Source organism: Homo sapiens, chromosome X (genome assembly GCF_000001405.40).
Source record: "Homo sapiens chromosome X, GRCh38.p14 Primary Assembly".
NCBI classification, from domain to species: Eukaryota; Metazoa; Chordata; class Mammalia; order Primates; family Hominidae; genus Homo; species Homo sapiens.
Window position 1 is genome coordinate 124,031,439 of NC_000023.11, and position 17,402 is coordinate 124,048,840.

Genomic DNA, 17,402 nt, shown 5'->3' on the forward strand with positions numbered 1-17,402 from the left:
AACCTCCACCTCCTGGGTTCAAGCGATTCTCCTGCCTCAGCCTCCCAAGTAGCTGGGATTACAGGTACAAACCACCATGCCTGGCTAGTGTTTTTTGTTTGTTTGTTTGTTTGTTTTTTTTGTTTTTTTGTTTTTTTGTTTTTTTTGGTGGGTATTTTCAGTGGAGACGGGGTTTCACCATGTTGGCCAGGCTTGTCTCAAACTCCTAGCCTCAAGTAATCTGCCCTCCTTGGCCTCCCAAAGTGCTGGGATTACAGGCGGAAGCCACCATGCCCAGCCCATTATTTATTATTATTATTATTATTTTTTTGAGATGGAGTCTCACTCTATTGCCCAGGCTGGAGTGCAGTGGCACGATCTCTGCTCACTGCAACCTCCGCCTCCTGGGTTCAGGCGATTCTCCTGCCTCAGCCTCCCGAGTAGCTGGGATTACAGGTGCCCGCCACCATGGCTGGCTAATTTTTGGTTTTTAGTAGAGATGGGGTTTCACCATGTTGGCCAGGCTGGTCTCAAACTCCTGACCTTAAGTAATCCACCTGCCTCGGCCTCCCAAAGTGCTGGGATTACAGGCGTGAGCCACCACGCCCAGCCCCAACCCATTATTTTTTTTTAATGGCCTAAGGTAAAAAATAATTTGGTCAAAAATATGCTGATGTAAACCATGGCTATGAGGTCTCAATTTTCCCTGAATTTATATAGATGCCATTAAAATACGAAGTCTTCTACCCATATGGAATTCCTGGTTGAGTGACCTAATATAATTATTATCCACTTTAGTGGAATGAATTATTTTAGTTACTGTTGTCTATTACAAATTTTATTATTTGTGCTTGTTTCTTAGAAGAATAAAAAGTTGGAGGCATATTCATGTCGAATCATTCGAATTATGTTTTCTCTGCATACTTTTATGACAATAGAAGCATTTAGGCTTTCTAATGTTGGCTAAACCATTAGAAAGTGGAATAAATACAATACTCAAGGAGTATATATACTTAATAAAGTTTTAATTTAATTTATAAAAGCTACAGGCAATAGTTTTTTTTTTTAATTTCAACTTTTAGATACAGGGATTACATATACAGGTTTGTACATGAGTATATTGCACCTAGGAAGTGAGGGTAGTATCCAGTGGGTAGTTTTTCAGTCCCCACCCCCTACCCCCAGTAGTCCGCAGTGTCTATGTTTTCCACATTTGTGTCCACATGTGCTCAATATTTAGCTTCCACTTACAAGTGAGAACATGTGGTATTTGGTTTTCTGTTCCTGCGTTAATTCACTTAGGATTATTGCCTCCAACTCTACCCATGTTGCTGTGAAAGACACAATTGCATTCTTTTTTATGACTGTGGAGAATAGTATTTCTTCATAGAAATAACTTTAATCAGTGATGGGTGCACATGAATGGTTATCTGAGAACTATCCGTTCAGGCTTTTTGTTAATAAAAACTGACACAAATACCTTGTTTAGAAATATAGAATTAGCTTAATATGTGTGGTTTTATAAATAAAATGTGTCAAATGAGGCTAATAAAGAACAGTTTTACATGTAAAATGTGAAAATACTTGTTAATTGTTTGAGCTTTCGCCAATTTTACAGAGCAAAGAACTTAAAAGGTGCCAGATTTATTCATACCATTCTAATGCACCTTTTTAAATCCGTTTATTAATGTTTGCTTGTATATCATGATTAGAGTGTGGATTCTTTTTCTTGTGTAATGTTTTAAATTACTGTTTTGAATATGTTTGGCTTTTAAAAAATAAATAATGTCTTATTATATTGCTGTACTATGGTTTATTTAGTCATTCCCCAATTTTAAAAATTACTTTTCTCTCTCTAGTTCTCCTTTTGGGTTATTTTTATCAAGAGGATAAATTATTTCAGTTACATTGTATTGCATTTCATTACTTTCCTTCTTTTTTTTGTATTATACATTTTCTCTAATATTTTGTTCTAAGTAGTTAAATGCACTAATCTTCTTTCTTCTGCTATCTTTTTAACATCAGTGTCTTAGTCCATTTGGGCTGCTATTAAAGAAACTAACATAGGCCAGGTGTAGCAGCTCACATAATCCCAGCACTTTGGGAGGCCAAGGTAGGTGGATCGCCTGAGGTCAGGAGTTGGAGACCAGCCTGCCCAACATGGTGAAACCCAGTCTCTACTAAAAATAAAAAAGTTAGCTGGGCTTGGTGGTGAGCACCTGTAATCTCAGCTACTCAGGAGGCTTAGGCAGGAGAATCACTTGAACCCTGGAGGCGTAGGTTGCAGTGAGCTGAGATCGCACCATTGCACTCCAGCCTGGGCAACAAGAGTGAAACCCTGTCTAAAAAAACAAACAAAAACAAAAAACCAACATAAACTAGAAAGCTTATAAAAAACAGAAATTTATTTCTTACAGTTTTGCAGGCTGCGAAGTTCAATATTAGGTGCCTACAGATTCATTATCTGGTGAAGGCCTGTTTTCTGGTTCATAGATGGCATCCTCTTACTGTGTCCTCACATGGAAGGGGCAAGGCAGCTCTCAGGGGCCTTGTGATCTTATTGCCATCTATAGGCTCCACTTCTTAATACCATAACATTGACTACAGTTCAACATACAGTTTGAACACAAAACCCTTCAGACCACAGCTATGAGAAATCCTGACTCATAACCACAGCTAATTGGGCTATTCCATTTTTATCTAAAAATGAATATTTTCTTTATTTTTGTGTTGCTTATGGCTTGTCATATTAAGATTGTACCTCTATCTGTGCCATTTTTGTTTTCATTTTTTATTTTAAGATGAGGTTTCATTATGTTGCTCAGGCTGGACTTGAACTCCTGGGCTCAAGCAATCCTCCTGCCTCAGCCTCCCCAGTAAGTGGGACTACAGGCACATGCCATTGTGCCTAGCTTGTTTTTCTGTTTTGAAATGTGTTTCCCTCTTAAGAGAGAATGTCTGCACTGTCTTTCCATTGATTTCCTGGAATCTTTTCAACAATTTTATTTTGTTATGTGTGTTCCCACTTGTGTTACCCTTTTAAGACCAAATTTGATGGAGGAAGTCCTCTGTTTAGAAACTTCCAAGGGTTCTTATCTAAAATTTCTAGCTCAGATTTCCTTATGCCATGTTTTCTGTCCTCCAGTCACAGTATATACTCTGCCCTTAGACTTTTCTTTTTGTTTTTCTTGTTGTTTGCAATAGTTTTATTTTACTCCCCCCTTGCATATCAAATAGGACTGAGCGAATCAAATGTCAGTCTTCTGAAAAGCATTCTCAGACACTACTACTTTTCCTTTCCAATGTGTTTTTTACTCTTATCTTTTCATTATATAGCACTTATACTGTGCCTGACTTTGACTCTAGATTGCTAATTCTTTGATCAAAGATCATGTGTTATTCATTATTTTTGCATTGCCAGGATATACCTATCTCAGTAGTTGTTGTTGTTGTTGTTGTTGTTATTATTATTATTATTATTATTATTATCATTATTCGAGACAAGATCTCACTCTGTCACCCAGGCTGGAGTGCAGTGGCATGATCTCGGCTCACTGCAACCTCCGCCTCCCGGGTTCAAGTGATTCTCATGCCTCAGCCTCCCAAGTAGCTGGGATTACAGGTGCATGCCACCACGCCCAGCTAATTTTTGTTTGTACCTTTTGGTAGAGACGGAGCTTCATCATGTTGGCCAGGCTGTCTCTCTCAGTAATTATAAGTGATAGTCAATAAATGCAAGAATGGCTGTTGGTTTAAAACTGGTTGTTATGTTTTAAGAATGGAGAAAGTATGCGTGTGCCCCTTAATTTTATTATATAACAGATGTTGAATTTTGTTACATAAGTTCTCAGCATACTATTTGATTAAAAATTTTAAGCATATTTCAGTAGCTCGCATTATTTTTATTATAGCAGACTTATTTTCCTAGTGTAAACTCTACTTGATCTTAATGAATTACTTTTTAATGTGATGTAGTGGTCTCTTTGTAAGAGTTCATTGAATATTTTGCATCTTTATTGATGAGAGTAGCCATTGTTCCAGTTATCTATTGATGCATAACAAACCACCCCAAACTTAGTGATGTGAAACAACAATCATTTTATTATGCCTAATGATTCTTTGGGTCTGGAATTCAGACAGAACTAAGTGGAGATGACTTGTGTCTGCTTTATGATGTCAAGGGCCTTAGCTTGGACCATTTGAGTGCCTGGCACTAACACAGTTAGGGACTATAATCATTTGGAAGCTTCTTTACTCATGTTTAGTGCCTAGTCTGTAGTGATATGAAGGCTGGACTTAGCCAGAACTGTTAGCTGCATAACTACAAATGGCCTTTCTATGTGGCTACGGCTTCTTACAGTATGGCGTCTGGGTTTGGAGAGAATGTCCTGAGAGAAGTGTCCAGTTTGCTAGTGCTCCAAGAGACCAGTGCAGTTGCTGCCTGGCATTCTGTGACCTAATTTTGGAAGCATCACTGCATTCTATTCTAGAGAAGATGACATAGACCCTCTTACTGGGGAGCAATGTCCAATAATTTGGGGCCATGTTTTAAAACTGTCACAGTCTCTATGATATATTCTTTTGCTGTTTATTGCCTATATCATATTTGGGAAAAATACTGAGCACATTTCTTTTGTAAATTATGTTGGTTAATATAAACAAGCTGTTGTAAATACAACAAAGTAGAAATTAAGTAAAGTTTTAGAATAATTCCAGTCAGTCTATCTGAACCAGGTATTTCTTAGATATTTTTCCTTGATTTATCTTTATTGTGTAATCATAGTATCTTTTTTGTACATTAGATTCTACATGTTTTAGTCATTGTTTGTACCTGGATTTCCTATTTATTGGTATATAACTTAGAAACATTTCCCTCTCCCAACCTTTTGTTTTTTATACTAGCTCTTGTTTATCATCTTGATTTTATTTAATTTGCTCTATTTAAAAAGTTTTGTTGTTGTTGTTTTTGTTTGTTTGTTTGTTTGGAGACAGAGTCTTGCTCTCTTGCCCAGGCGGGAGTGCAGTGGTGCGACCTCAGCTCACTGCAGCCTTCATCTCCCGGGTTCAAGTGATTCTTCTGCCTCAGCCTCCCGAGTAGCTGGGATTATAGGCATGCACCACCACACCCAGCTAATTTTTGTATTTTTAGTAGAGACGGGGTTTCACCATGTTGGCCTCTCGAACTCCTGACCTCAAGTGATCCGCTGGCTTCAGCCTCCCAAAGTGCTGGGATTACAGGCGTGAGCTACCGCACCCAGCCTAAAAATTGAAAATCAGTTTTGTCGTTGCCTCTCTTGCCCCGAAAGGAATAAAGTATTCCTTTTATTTTTAGTTCTAGCCTATTTTCTTTTTTAAGAAATAACCATATTGAGATATATTTACCATACTATAAAATTTACCCTTTAAAGTGCAAATTCAGAGTTGTACAGCCACCATTACAATATAATTTTAGAATATTTTATTTATTTTTATTATTTTTTTTGAGATGGAGTCTCACTCACTCTGTTGTCCAGGTTGGGGTACAGTGGCATGATCTTGGCTCACTGCAACCTCCATCTCCTGGATTCAAGTGATACTCCTGCCTCAGCCTCGCGAGTAGTTGGGATTACAGGCGTGCACCACCACGCCTGGCTAATTTTTGTATTGGTAGTAGAGACAAGGTTTTACCATGTCAGCCAGGCTGGTCTCGAACTCCTAACTTCAAGTGATCCACTCACCTCGGCCTCCCAAAGTTCTGGGATTATAGACATGAGCCAGCACACCTGCCCTGTATTGTCTTAATTATTTGAAATTCTCTCCTTTCTTTAATGTCACTGAGAAATCATAAGTAATTATACTTGATGGAATTGACTTCCATAGTTTCCACATTCTTTTCAATGCAAAATAAATAGAAGATTGATAGGTCATTTTGTGTTATCAGATAATTGTTTTACTGAATTCGATTCTATTTTATTATTGTTAAAATTGAACTTTAAATTTCAGTGTATAAGTATTTATATTAAAGTAATGTGATACTATATAATCTTGAATTTTATGACTTTATCAGACTTAATTGATTTTGAGAAAATTAGAAGAAGCTAATGATTTTATTTTTTTCCCTCTGCTGTAGTCGGTGGTAGATGATTGGATAGAATCATACAAGCATGACCGAGATATAGCACTTCTTGACCTTATCAACTTTTTTATTCAGTGTTCAGGCTGTAAAGGTAAGATATATTTATTTTGAAATCAGCAGCTCTCAAATAGTCACTTCGTTGTTCCACCTAAAGAGATGTTGTTAGCACTTTACATGGTAAATAACGCTAAGGCATTATTTGCATCATATCCATATAAAATTTGTAAGGAAAAAAGAGCAAAGGACAAAGTAAGAGAGAAAGTCTATTGACAAAGTTTTATTCATATGTGAAAGTTATCTAAAAACTTAGCAGTTTATAATTATTATGTTACTTTTATTAGATATATTTCCCACTTTCAGCATCTGGTTTTAGGAACAAAGAAATTGATTAAGAAGGGAGGAGGAAGATAATGAAGAGATACAGGTTCAGATGACAGGTAATCGTACAGTGTAGGGAGTTAAAAAGTGCCATGAATAACAGTAAGTAAGCAAGCAAGCAAGTAAGTAAGTTACGTTAAGTAAGTTAAATAAGGTATTGATAAAATCGACATTTCTTCTAAAAGGTAAAGAAATTTTGTTGTGTGTAGTGGTGTCTTTAAAGTGTTTTCACTTTATTTTAAAAATATTTTGAACTGGGAAAGATGAAAGTACAAAATACAGAAATTTCTTCCCTAAGACAGAAGTATTTAGGACAAACATTTGGCAGGGGGACAAAATTATGTAAGTTGGGGAGTCATATATCCTCATATGGATCAATAAATGAGCCAGTCAAGATTACGGGCAGGTTCTGATGTATCTGGTGTCTCCCAATACTTAGCTCATCCTTGAAATTTCAGATGATGCCCGGGCAAATACATTTTATGGAGATTTCTGGGGGTATTTTTTTTTTTTAATGAAAGTGGCATCAACAACATTAGAGCATTAGAAATTGGGAGAGGAAGTTGCTTAAAAATAGATATAAAACGTTAAGATGGTAAAGAATGATTTATTTAAACAAATGCAGAAACTGAATTGTAAGAAGCAATTCAATTCTGCAGTATTCCTTTAAAGATACCGTAATATCTTTGAAAAACAAGTAACATTGGTAGAGTTTGATCACAACATTCAGTGTAGTATGTGTATTAAATGTTACCTGTCTGTGAGGCCTGAAAGATAGACAACTATATTAAATTCTTGAGCCTGTGATCTTTATAATGTCACTAAGGTGTTGAGAAATTTAAAAAATTGTCTTAATCATAGCATATAGAAAGCTGCCTAGTTTACTTCATTTGCCTAAAATAAAAGTAGCTTTAATTCAATATTAGAAAATTCAGCTGACTTCTGCTCAGAGGAGATGTTGTCATGATGTTACTATGGTATCCTTAAGGTTCTGAACCAGATTGACTGTTTAAAGATGAGCTATACTAAAATTATTTTTCCCTATATCCAGTCATTTTTTTCTGGGGTAGGATGGATATAAGTACCTGCTTGTTGTGTCATATAATCAAGGGCTATGTCCTTTCTCATTAGGCTCTTTGCAAATGGAAGGTTGAGTGCAGACAGCTGAACAGATGCCAGAAATAACGTAATGAGTTGAAATTTTAAATCTTAAGTCTCCCCTTTTATTTATTATTATTATTATTATTATTATTATTATTTTATGAGAGAGAGTCTTGTTCTTTCATCCAGGCTGGAGTGTAGTGTCGTGATCATGGCTCACTGCGGCCTTGACCTCCTGGGCTCAGGTGATCCTCCCACCTTAACCTCCTGAATAGCTGGGACTACAGGCTCACGACAACACGCCCAGCTAATTTTTTGTTTCTGTTTTTATTTTTTGTGGACATGGGGTTTTGCCATGTTGCCCAGGCCGCAAGTGATCCTCTTGCCTCATCCTCCGAAGTAGCTGGGGCTACAGGCGTGCACCACCATGCCCAGCTAGTTTTTATTTTTCGTAGAGACAGATCTGGCTGTGTTGCCCAGGCTGATCCTCAATCTCCTAAACTCAGGCAGTTGTCCCACCTCAGCCTCCAAAGTGCTGGGATTACAGGCATGAGCCACCTTCCTGGCATGAGTGAGTTTGTTTGTTTGTTTGTTTGTTTGTCTGTTTTTGGCATGAGTTTCTTTCTTTCTTTTTTTTTTTTTTTAATTTAATTTTTTTTTGTAGAGACAGGTCTTTCTCTGTTGCCCAGGCTGGTCTCAATCTCCTAGCCTGAAGAAGTTGTCCCACCTTGGCCTCCCAAAGTGCTGGAATTACAGGTGTGAGCCACCCCTCCCGCCTGAGTTTCTTAATTAGGCTTCTGAGTTGTAGTTTTTTTTAAAACAAGGCCGCAGAGCATGTTCCCTTTGTCAAATTCATTCCTTTTTTGGCATCAGTTTGTTTACAAATCAGGAGCTTGCTAACTCAACATTTGGACCTTGTCACAAGTGAGTTTGTCAAGATTTCTAAAAACTTAAGGTGTTGAAAACTTAAATTGTAAGGTTAATTTAAGCACTGCTGTAATATTTATCTTAGAATCAGGCAATCTCCATGAAGGGGAATTTACTATATAATCAAAGATAAAGCCATTAATTACTTATACACACAAAATTATTTTAATATAATTCTTTTATAAATGACTTAGAAACTTCTTTAAGTATACTTATTGTAATTTAACATTTCCTGCAGACCCAAAGTTGTTATAAGCATCAGTTATTTTTTCTACAATACATTGATGGCTTCTGTAGCTGTTGAAGCATGGAGGGATATTTAACTCCATGCTGCTCCTGACTGCTCCGTTGGTGATTCTGTGGCCAGTGTTTTCTTCTTTTTTTCCTAGTCAGCTGTCACTTTTCTTTTTTTCTTTCTCTTTTCTTTTAAAATAGAGATAGGGTCTTGCTCTATCACTTTTAGATTTACCGGATTTTAGCAGTCTTGCTAAAAATGTCCCCCACATTTTTAAGGCAGCAGGCTCTGGCCTTATGTCCTAATGGTGGCTTCATACCTGCCTCAAGAGTTAAATGAATGGAGTTTGTGATAGCTACTTTCTTTTCTGCTCTGAGGTCCTTTTCTGCTTGTTTTTGGGTTTCTGGATGTCTTGTGGTTTATGAGACGGGGAGGAGCTTTAGAAATGAGGGATTGTTGAAAAGTATGCAGTATGTTTGCTTTGAGATATATTTATATGTAAATGTTAATTTCACAGAAATGTTCAGGTCATTAGTTACTTTTTGTTCTCTAGCATTCCCAGGTATACAGCACCTGGGTATGAAGTATGGGAAGATTTTGAAGAGAGATACGTGATTCTAGATTAAAAACAAAAGCCTTTCAAAAGGTTTTTGAGAGTGTTTTCTCTTCTCCTCTTCTCTCTTTTTTTTTTTTTTTTTTTTGTGAGACAGAGTCTCACTCTGTTGCCCAGGCTCTGGAGTGCAGTGGTGTGATCTCGGCTCACTGCAACCTCTGCCTCCCAGATTCAAGCGTTTCTCCTACCTCAGCCTCCCAAGTAGCTGCGATTACAGGCATGCCCAGCTAATTTTTGTATTTTTAGTAGTGACGGGGTTTCACCATATTGGCCAGGCTGGTCTTGAACTCCAGACCTCAAGTGACTCGCCCGCCTCAGCCTCCCAAAGTGCTAGGATTACAGGCATGAGCCACCGCACCCGGCCAAGAGTGTGTTTCTTTAGCCAGAGAAATGGTGCTTTCTCCTGAGTTCATCAACTTTTTAAAACAATCATTTTTTTTTTTTTTTAAGTTGCGGTAAGTAAGGATTCTTCTAGGGTACGACTAGAAATTAATCTCACCCAGATAAGAGGGAGGCAGCATGATTTAGGTGAATAGTCTCAGACAAATTATTTAATTTCTTTTAGCCTTAGCCTAAGCCTTAGTTTCCTCATCTTTGAAGCTGGGATTATGGATTTACAGCTATGTATATACACAGGCGCGCGCACACACACAGATGCATGCATATACAAAATATTGCTCTGGTCAATTGAAAAAAATCTATGTTAATTATATCTAGTTCTTATTTATAAATCTCATCTTCTTGTACCAAGACATTCTTCTTTTAGATATTACTATATTTATGGTATTTCTAGTGAGAAGACTAGTAAGCAAATAATTCAACAATAAAAACAGGATTTTGAAAATCTAGTATTTACGTTGATTACCCCTGCCCCCATCTCTCTCTTTCTCAGTCTGATGCCCCATCAGTGGAAGTTCATGTATCTCTTCTTACTGCACACTAGAAATTTCCTTTCTGATGTTTGGTCTCCACCTGACTAATGTTTTACTACTTCTAATGTGTACCTTTTCTTTTTTCCTCTCCCATCCTCCTGTGTAAGATTCTAAAGGTCCTTATCAAATTGTTTCTCTTTGACATAGTTCTTTATTTTCTAACTTATAACATGTGTGGTTTTTCTGGTGGGTATGGAGTGGAGGTGGAGTCAGAGCTATAGCATTTGGCATTTCCACACATCAGGGCTTTGATTATGTACTACTTTTGACAGCTTCTTTTTCTTTTTGGTATTCTTTAGTTTTAACTTTTAACTAGATTACAGGCGTCTAGGTGGGCAGGAACTACAATTTACTACTTAGCTCTTTTAGAGGATATTAGGATGTAGTTACTTTACATGCAATAGTGCTTAATAAAGAGACTTGACTAAAGTGAACTCTAGCTATTACTCTTTTCCTTATCTTCAGCTTCATCCCCAAGGTTTTAAGTGTTATACTAGATGCTATCTCACTCTTGATAACATATGGTTTATGTTAAAGAGACAAAGCCAATATAAATATTACAGCATGAGTAAAGTGAGTCAGGTAGAAATGGCCAAAGTTAATTGTGTTAGGAAAAAAGATATCTGTCAGAAGTATGGGGCTGTTTTCTTGTGCATACTGAGAATAGATAGCATTTGTTTGTGCTTTATTTATAGATTAGAGTATCATGGTAAAGATTATTAGATGATGGTTGAAGAAGTATGCCTTTTATTGTGTGACCATAGACTTCTTAGTGTTAGAGACTTACTTGGAAGTTTTCTTTATTTTTTTATCACACCATATATTAACTTCTGACATTTGCAAATTTCAGGAGTTGTCACAGCAGAAATGTTTAGACATATGCAGAACTCTGAGATAATTCGAAAAATGACTGAAGAATTCGATGAGGTAACTTACTACCTTAAGTGTTTTGATAACTTATGCATGTTTATCTTGACTTATTTTTGAAAGTATTATTAAATTGTAAGCATTAGGCTGGGCATGGTGGCTCATGCCTGTAATCCCACACTTTCAGAGGCCGAGGCAGGCGGATCACCTGAGGTCAGGAGTTCGAGACCAGCTTGACCAATATGGTGAAACCCTGTCTCTGCTAAAAATACAAAAAAAATTAGCCGGGAGTCGTGGTGTGTGCCTGTAGTCCCAGCTACTTGGGAGGCTGAGATAGGAGAATTGCTTGAACCTGGGAGGCGGAGGTTGCAGTGAGCCGAGCTCTCGCCACTGTACTCCAGCCTGGGCAACAGAGTGAGACTCCATCAAAAAAAAAGGAAAAAAAAAATTGTAAGCATTAATGTTGTAAATAAGAGCTTTGGCATTAGATTTAATCAAATGATGCCTGTGCGACCTTTGGCAGGTTGTTGTCTTAGTGTCAGTTGTTTTTTTTTTTCTTTTTTCCTGAGACAAAGTCTCACTCTGTCGCCCAGGCTGGAGTGCAGTGGCATGATCTCACTGCAACCTCTGCCTCCTGGGTTCAAGCAATTCTCCTGCCACAGCCTTCCAAGTAGCTGGGATTACAGGCACCCACCACCACACCTGAATAATTTCTGTATTTTTAGTAGAGACATGGTGGGGGGTGGTGGGCGGTGTGGGTTTACCATGTTGGCCAGGCTGGTCTCGAACTCATTACCTCAAGTGACCCGCCCACCTTGGCCTCCCAAAGTGCGGGGATTACAGCAGGTAGGCGCCACTGCATCTGGCCAGTATCAATTTCATTATCTGTAAAATGGGCCTAATAGTACTTTACTCATAAGGCTGTTACGAAGATTGAATTGAGTAATGTTTGAAAATTGCTTAACATTTTATGGTTCCCAGAACATAGCAAGGACTTAATAAATGGTAGTTATTATTGACAAAAATGAAAATGTCAAGGAAAAGTATAAGAACATATCCTGGAATGTTGTAAAAGGAAGGTTTCAGCAATATTTAGGGAACCTGATAGCTAGGGCAAAGGAGTATATAGATACTTTTATTGTTTAAAAACTCTTAAGAACAACAAAGATTACATATTAGTTTAGACTGAGTTGTCCCCCCCTTACCTCCCTAGGGCTAGATTGAGTTGATTATTTCATTGAGCTCTTTGAAGTATTGTTACCAATAAATACATACATAGATTTACTATAAATTAAGCTTCTTCAAGGAAGGGATTTGGGTTTGTTTGGGTCACGGCTGTATTTCAGCACCAGTACTTTTACTCTTCCAAAATTTTTCGCTGTGGGTTTTCAAGTAGAAAATGTTGTCTGATTTGAGTTTTATTTGGTCTTTTTTTTCTTGCTTACTCTGATGAAGGAGCTTTGAACTATTATTCTAAAAGATAGATGAGTTAAAATGGCTTTGATGATCGCTAAGTGCTATTAATCACTCCCCAAGTAGTTGAGAAGTAATTTTGAATAGTGGCATTTTTTACCCTTTTAATATTGAATGTTTTAGTGAGAACTTTCTCACTAAAAGGGAACAACTATTTGAGATAATTGTCCTGAAATATGATTTGAAAATGTCAGCAAACCAAGTTGCTAACAATTAAGATGCTATATTTCAATATAGTCACTAAATTAGCCAATCAGAAAATACCAAAAAAACTTTTTTTGTGGAATATCAGGACCTTATTCTCAGATGAGACGCAACTGCACTTACATGTGACATGACTTCAGATTTTAAAAAATGTTCTGTTGACAAAAATTAATTTTTAAAATTTACTGAACTGAATTACCTTACATCTCTAGGATACTCTTGTCAGAGACCGTTACTTTTAGATGTTCTATATGGTATTGGTCTCTGCTTTTATTTCTAAGTACTTCATTGTTTTTAATGATTTGTGGAGAATCTCAGTTTACCCTGAGACTAGAGAATGCCCTCTTGTTGTGCAAAGGAAAACCAGAGTACCAGTCTTCCAAGGCAATACTAGCTACATTTCCATTTCTTTAAAAAATTATGATTGTTTATATCTGTTGACTGTGTGATGTATTTGAAGCTAATAACATATTTCTAATGTTTTGTTGATTTATACATCATACATTTTATTTGAGAGTATAATTTCCATCATTTTGAATCCATTTAAAAATATAATTTTGGTTTGGTTTGGGTTTGCTTTTGCTTTATATCTGTGCTTATCACAAGGATGTTTTGTTTTGATGAGGGAGGCTTTTAAAATTTTTAACCTGAGTAATTGGTATATATTTTCATTGATTAAAGTGAATTCAGAATATCTATCTTGATCTTAAATAAAGAGCTGAAGTGTTCAGAGGTACCCCTACCTTTATATATTGTTCTCTTGCCTACTTTGAGGATTTATTGGAGAAGAAAGGTGAGATAAAGATACCTTTTCATGCTTTTGTCTAGGGTATTTCAAAAGCAAGTGATATGTTAAGTCATGCATTCTAAATGAAATTGCTGTTTTAAATTTTTGTTTTAGGATAGTGGAGATTATCCACTTACCATGGCTGGTCCTCAGTGGAAGAAGTTCAAATCCAGTTTTTGTGAATTCATTGGCGTGTTAGTACGGCAATGTCAATATAGTATCATATATGATGAGTATATGATGGATACAGTCATTTCACTTCTTACAGGATTGTCTGACTCACAAGTCAGAGCATTTCGACATACAAGCACCCTGGCAGGTCGGTATTTAGAAATATTTTCTGCATATTGTCTTAGATTTGAGATGAAAAAGATTCTCATTTAAAGAGAAAGGAAATAACAGAGATACAAATTAATTTTATTTATAAAGTGACCACTAAGAGGACACTCCCCCATCCCTCCTGCGAATTCCTGGAAATGGGATGATAATTTCAGTTTTGATTTTGTGAAGGTATACTATAACTAGTATTTGGTAATTTTCTTGTATACTATGCATACTGTGCCACAGCAGGGGAGAATTGGACAATAGGTATGTGTTGGGTTCTTGAAAAATACTATGCCACAGCAAGGGAAAATTGGACTATAGGTATGCATTGGATTATTGAAAAATACCATGCCACAAGAAGGGAAAATTGGATGATAGGTATGTATTGGGTTTTTGAAAGATATGTTACCAGGGAAGATATTGACAGCAGATTTGGAGATATCATCACAGTCATTTTGGATATGTGATCCTGATGCCATTTAGTTTGTCTTTGGTGTGCGTTGCCTCTCCAGGTAGGATGGCCCCTACTAGATGATGCCTGTTCTTTCAGTCACACTGCAAAAAATTGATTTTTCTTATGTTTCTGGGTAACTTTAGGCTGGGGCAAATTCTTTGATCTTTAAAGTTTAATGAAATAAGGTATATTTTTATACCTCATAACATCTGTTAGTTCCTCTTTTGTGCTTAAGGTAAAATTGGTGATACACTGCTGTTGAATTTGTTGCTTTTGAGTTTCAATAAATAAAATAGGCATTAATTGTTATGATAGTATTCTGAATCTTCTGAATCTTAATGATATTTTGATTTTTAACTAAAAAAACTTTATATTCTCTGTTGGTTTGTTTTTTATTTATAAGATTTTCTCAAAGAATTAAATCTATGATTAAAGATATGCTTCTACGTCCTTCATTATTAAAGAGAAAATGCAGTTTCCCGTATGTTGTTTTTGTTTTTAGATTTGAAGTCAGAAAATATGAATGTGATCTTGCTTTATGCACTTGTGGTAGCAATGTCAATAACTTGATGGCTAAAGTAAATTAAAACAGGGATTATGGTGCAAGATGGATACTTTTAGATCAGAGTGACAGACTGGTTTGCTGGGAGCATGAAATTAACTTAGAGCAGAAAATTGGGAAATCTTTCTTTAAGAGAGCCAATAGCCACAAATTTAAGATGTAGTTTTATTGTTGTTGTATCATGCAATGCACCAAGTCTGAGAAGTAGTCTGGAGTAAGCTAAAGAAAGCAAAAAGTGATCAGATCTTTCAGTTAATAAATTTTAAATCCCAGGCAATAAGAATCTTGTATCAGGAGTAAGAGTTTAGTAACAGAAGGTAGAGATCTGGAGGAAGTTTTATGAAAAAGCACTTTAATTAAGTCACATTTTGCCCTTTGTTCTTTTGACTTTCCATGGAGATCTGTTCACAGTTTCATCAGTCATGTTATAGAGTAAAATGAAAGGAAAGCAAATACTGATAAAATTCCTCAACATTTTCATAAAATATAATTTGATGTAAAGCCATCAAGTTCCTTTTAATTACTGAATAGCTAAATAACTTCTGTGTGAACTAAAATTTACTTTAGAAGGTGAATCATGATCTATGAAAATGATTATTTTAGAGGACATATTATAGAATAATGGGATTTAAGGATAGACTGGAGTCAGATTGCCTTGGTTTGAATCCTGGTTTGACTGCTTATATGAACTGAGGCAAATTTTAAAATTTCCCTGAGCTTCAATTTTGCCGTGAATGAAATGGGTATAATACTTACCTTTGAGAGGGCCATTGTGAGGATTAGGAGATAATTCCTGAAAAGTTATTTTATTTTATGTTATTTTATTGTCATTTGTAGCAGCTGCATCTTTCTTTTGTTAGAAGCAGATTAGCTCATTTCTGCTTAATATTTCTATTTGATCTTAAATTGTAAATTTTTGTGTCTGTTAGATTAGTTTCACCATACTTTTACTCTTTAAAAATAGCTATGAAGTTGATGACAGCTTTGGTGAATGTGGCACTAAATCTTAGCATTAATATGGATAATACACAAAGACAATATGAAGCAGAACGGAATAAAATGATTGGAAAACGAGCCAATGAGAGGCTAGAACTCCTGCTACAAAAGCGGAAAGAGGTAAACTTTTATATTGAATATTTAGGCTATTGTGTGACCAACTTGGTCACCATTAATTAGGATATAACTTTGCTAGTGGCTCAGATAATTGTTTTTGAAATATTTAAATGTAAATAACATTTCAAACTATTTGCCCAACAAAATTCTGATGAATATCCGTGCCAACAATACTGTTTTCTTATTTTCAACCTGCGTGGACTAGTATTAAGAGTGGCTTTAAGTAAGGGGACTGGGGTTAGTCTGACAAGTTGTCTTAAGCTTTAGTATTATTCATCTCTACGGTGAAAAACCTTTTGTCAGGATGAAAAGAGATTTCACAATTAAAATCACTTTGGAAAATAAAATCACTTTGAAAAATAACATAAGCTGTTTATTGGCATCTAAATCAGTGTTTTTTATACAGTAGAAGGCATTTGTTTAACATTAATGACTGACCACCAAATTCAACTCTGAATGAGGAAAATAATTTTTTCAGCCTTATGCGAAATAACAGTAAATAAAATCTTTTGATGCTGCGGCTGTAATTTAAATTCTTTCTTCATTGGTGATAAAATATTTTGCTATCTCATAATGGAGATGTTTGTTTTCATATCAAATAGGCAAAGTCTGATTTTTCAAAAATATTAGTAATGCAGTTGAATTCAGTAGTTATCATGGTTATCTACGAATTATTGACCTGATCTTGAATTTTTTTGGGGAGGGGAATTAGTAGCTAATTTTAAATTGGTTATTTCTGAAATAGTTAATAACTTTAAAACATATCCAGACTCAAGAATTGACTAAGAAAAATCCTGATCATATTTCACCCATGTCTAAATTCCTCATATTTTTCATATAATTTGAAATAAAGTGTTGATACTTTTTCCCTTTAATTTATGTATATGCTATATAGTAAGTGATATGTAGTAGCAAACTACATTACAGATTTCTTTACAGTGTTTTTTTTGGAGGCAGAATCTCACTCTGTCTCCCAGGCTGGAGTACAGTGGCACTATCTCAGCTGACTGCAACCTCTGCCTCCCAGGTTCAAGCTCCTGCCTCAGCCTCCTCAGTAGCTGGAATTATAGGCTTGTGCCACCATGCCTGGCTAATTTTTGTATTTTTAGTAGAGTCGGGGTTTTGCCATGTTGGCCAGGCTGGTCTCGAACTCCTGACCTCAAGTGATCCGTCTGTCTTGGCCTCCCCGAGTGCTGAGATTACAGGCATGAGCCACTGCACCCGGCCTTCTTTACAGTTCTTTAGTGGAAATTTATGAGCATTAGAAAAAAAATCTACTAGCTAAATATTAAAATCCCAATCAAATATTTCAGGTATTAAGGGACTTTATCTACCTGG

At 36.2% G+C, this 17,402-nt stretch overlaps 1 protein-coding gene across 35 annotated transcripts in view; it reads left to right on the forward strand.

Annotated features, from left to right (window-relative positions):
• The window catches only part of STAG2 (STAG2 cohesin complex component), a 142,097-nt gene that overhangs the window by 70,879 nt on the left and 53,816 nt on the right, over nucleotides 1–17,402 (forward strand). For all 35 annotated transcript variants that reach the window (NM_001042749.2, XM_047441783.1, NM_001441077.1 and 32 more), the window contains 4 exons: nucleotides 6,089–6,185; nucleotides 11,131–11,207; nucleotides 13,726–13,930; nucleotides 15,916–16,067. In NM_001042749.2, the coding sequence (NP_001036214.1) occupies nucleotides 6,089–6,185; nucleotides 11,131–11,207; nucleotides 13,726–13,930; nucleotides 15,916–16,067 (531 nt within the window). The remainder of the gene's footprint in view (nucleotides 1–6,088; nucleotides 6,186–11,130; nucleotides 11,208–13,725; nucleotides 13,931–15,915; nucleotides 16,068–17,402) is intronic.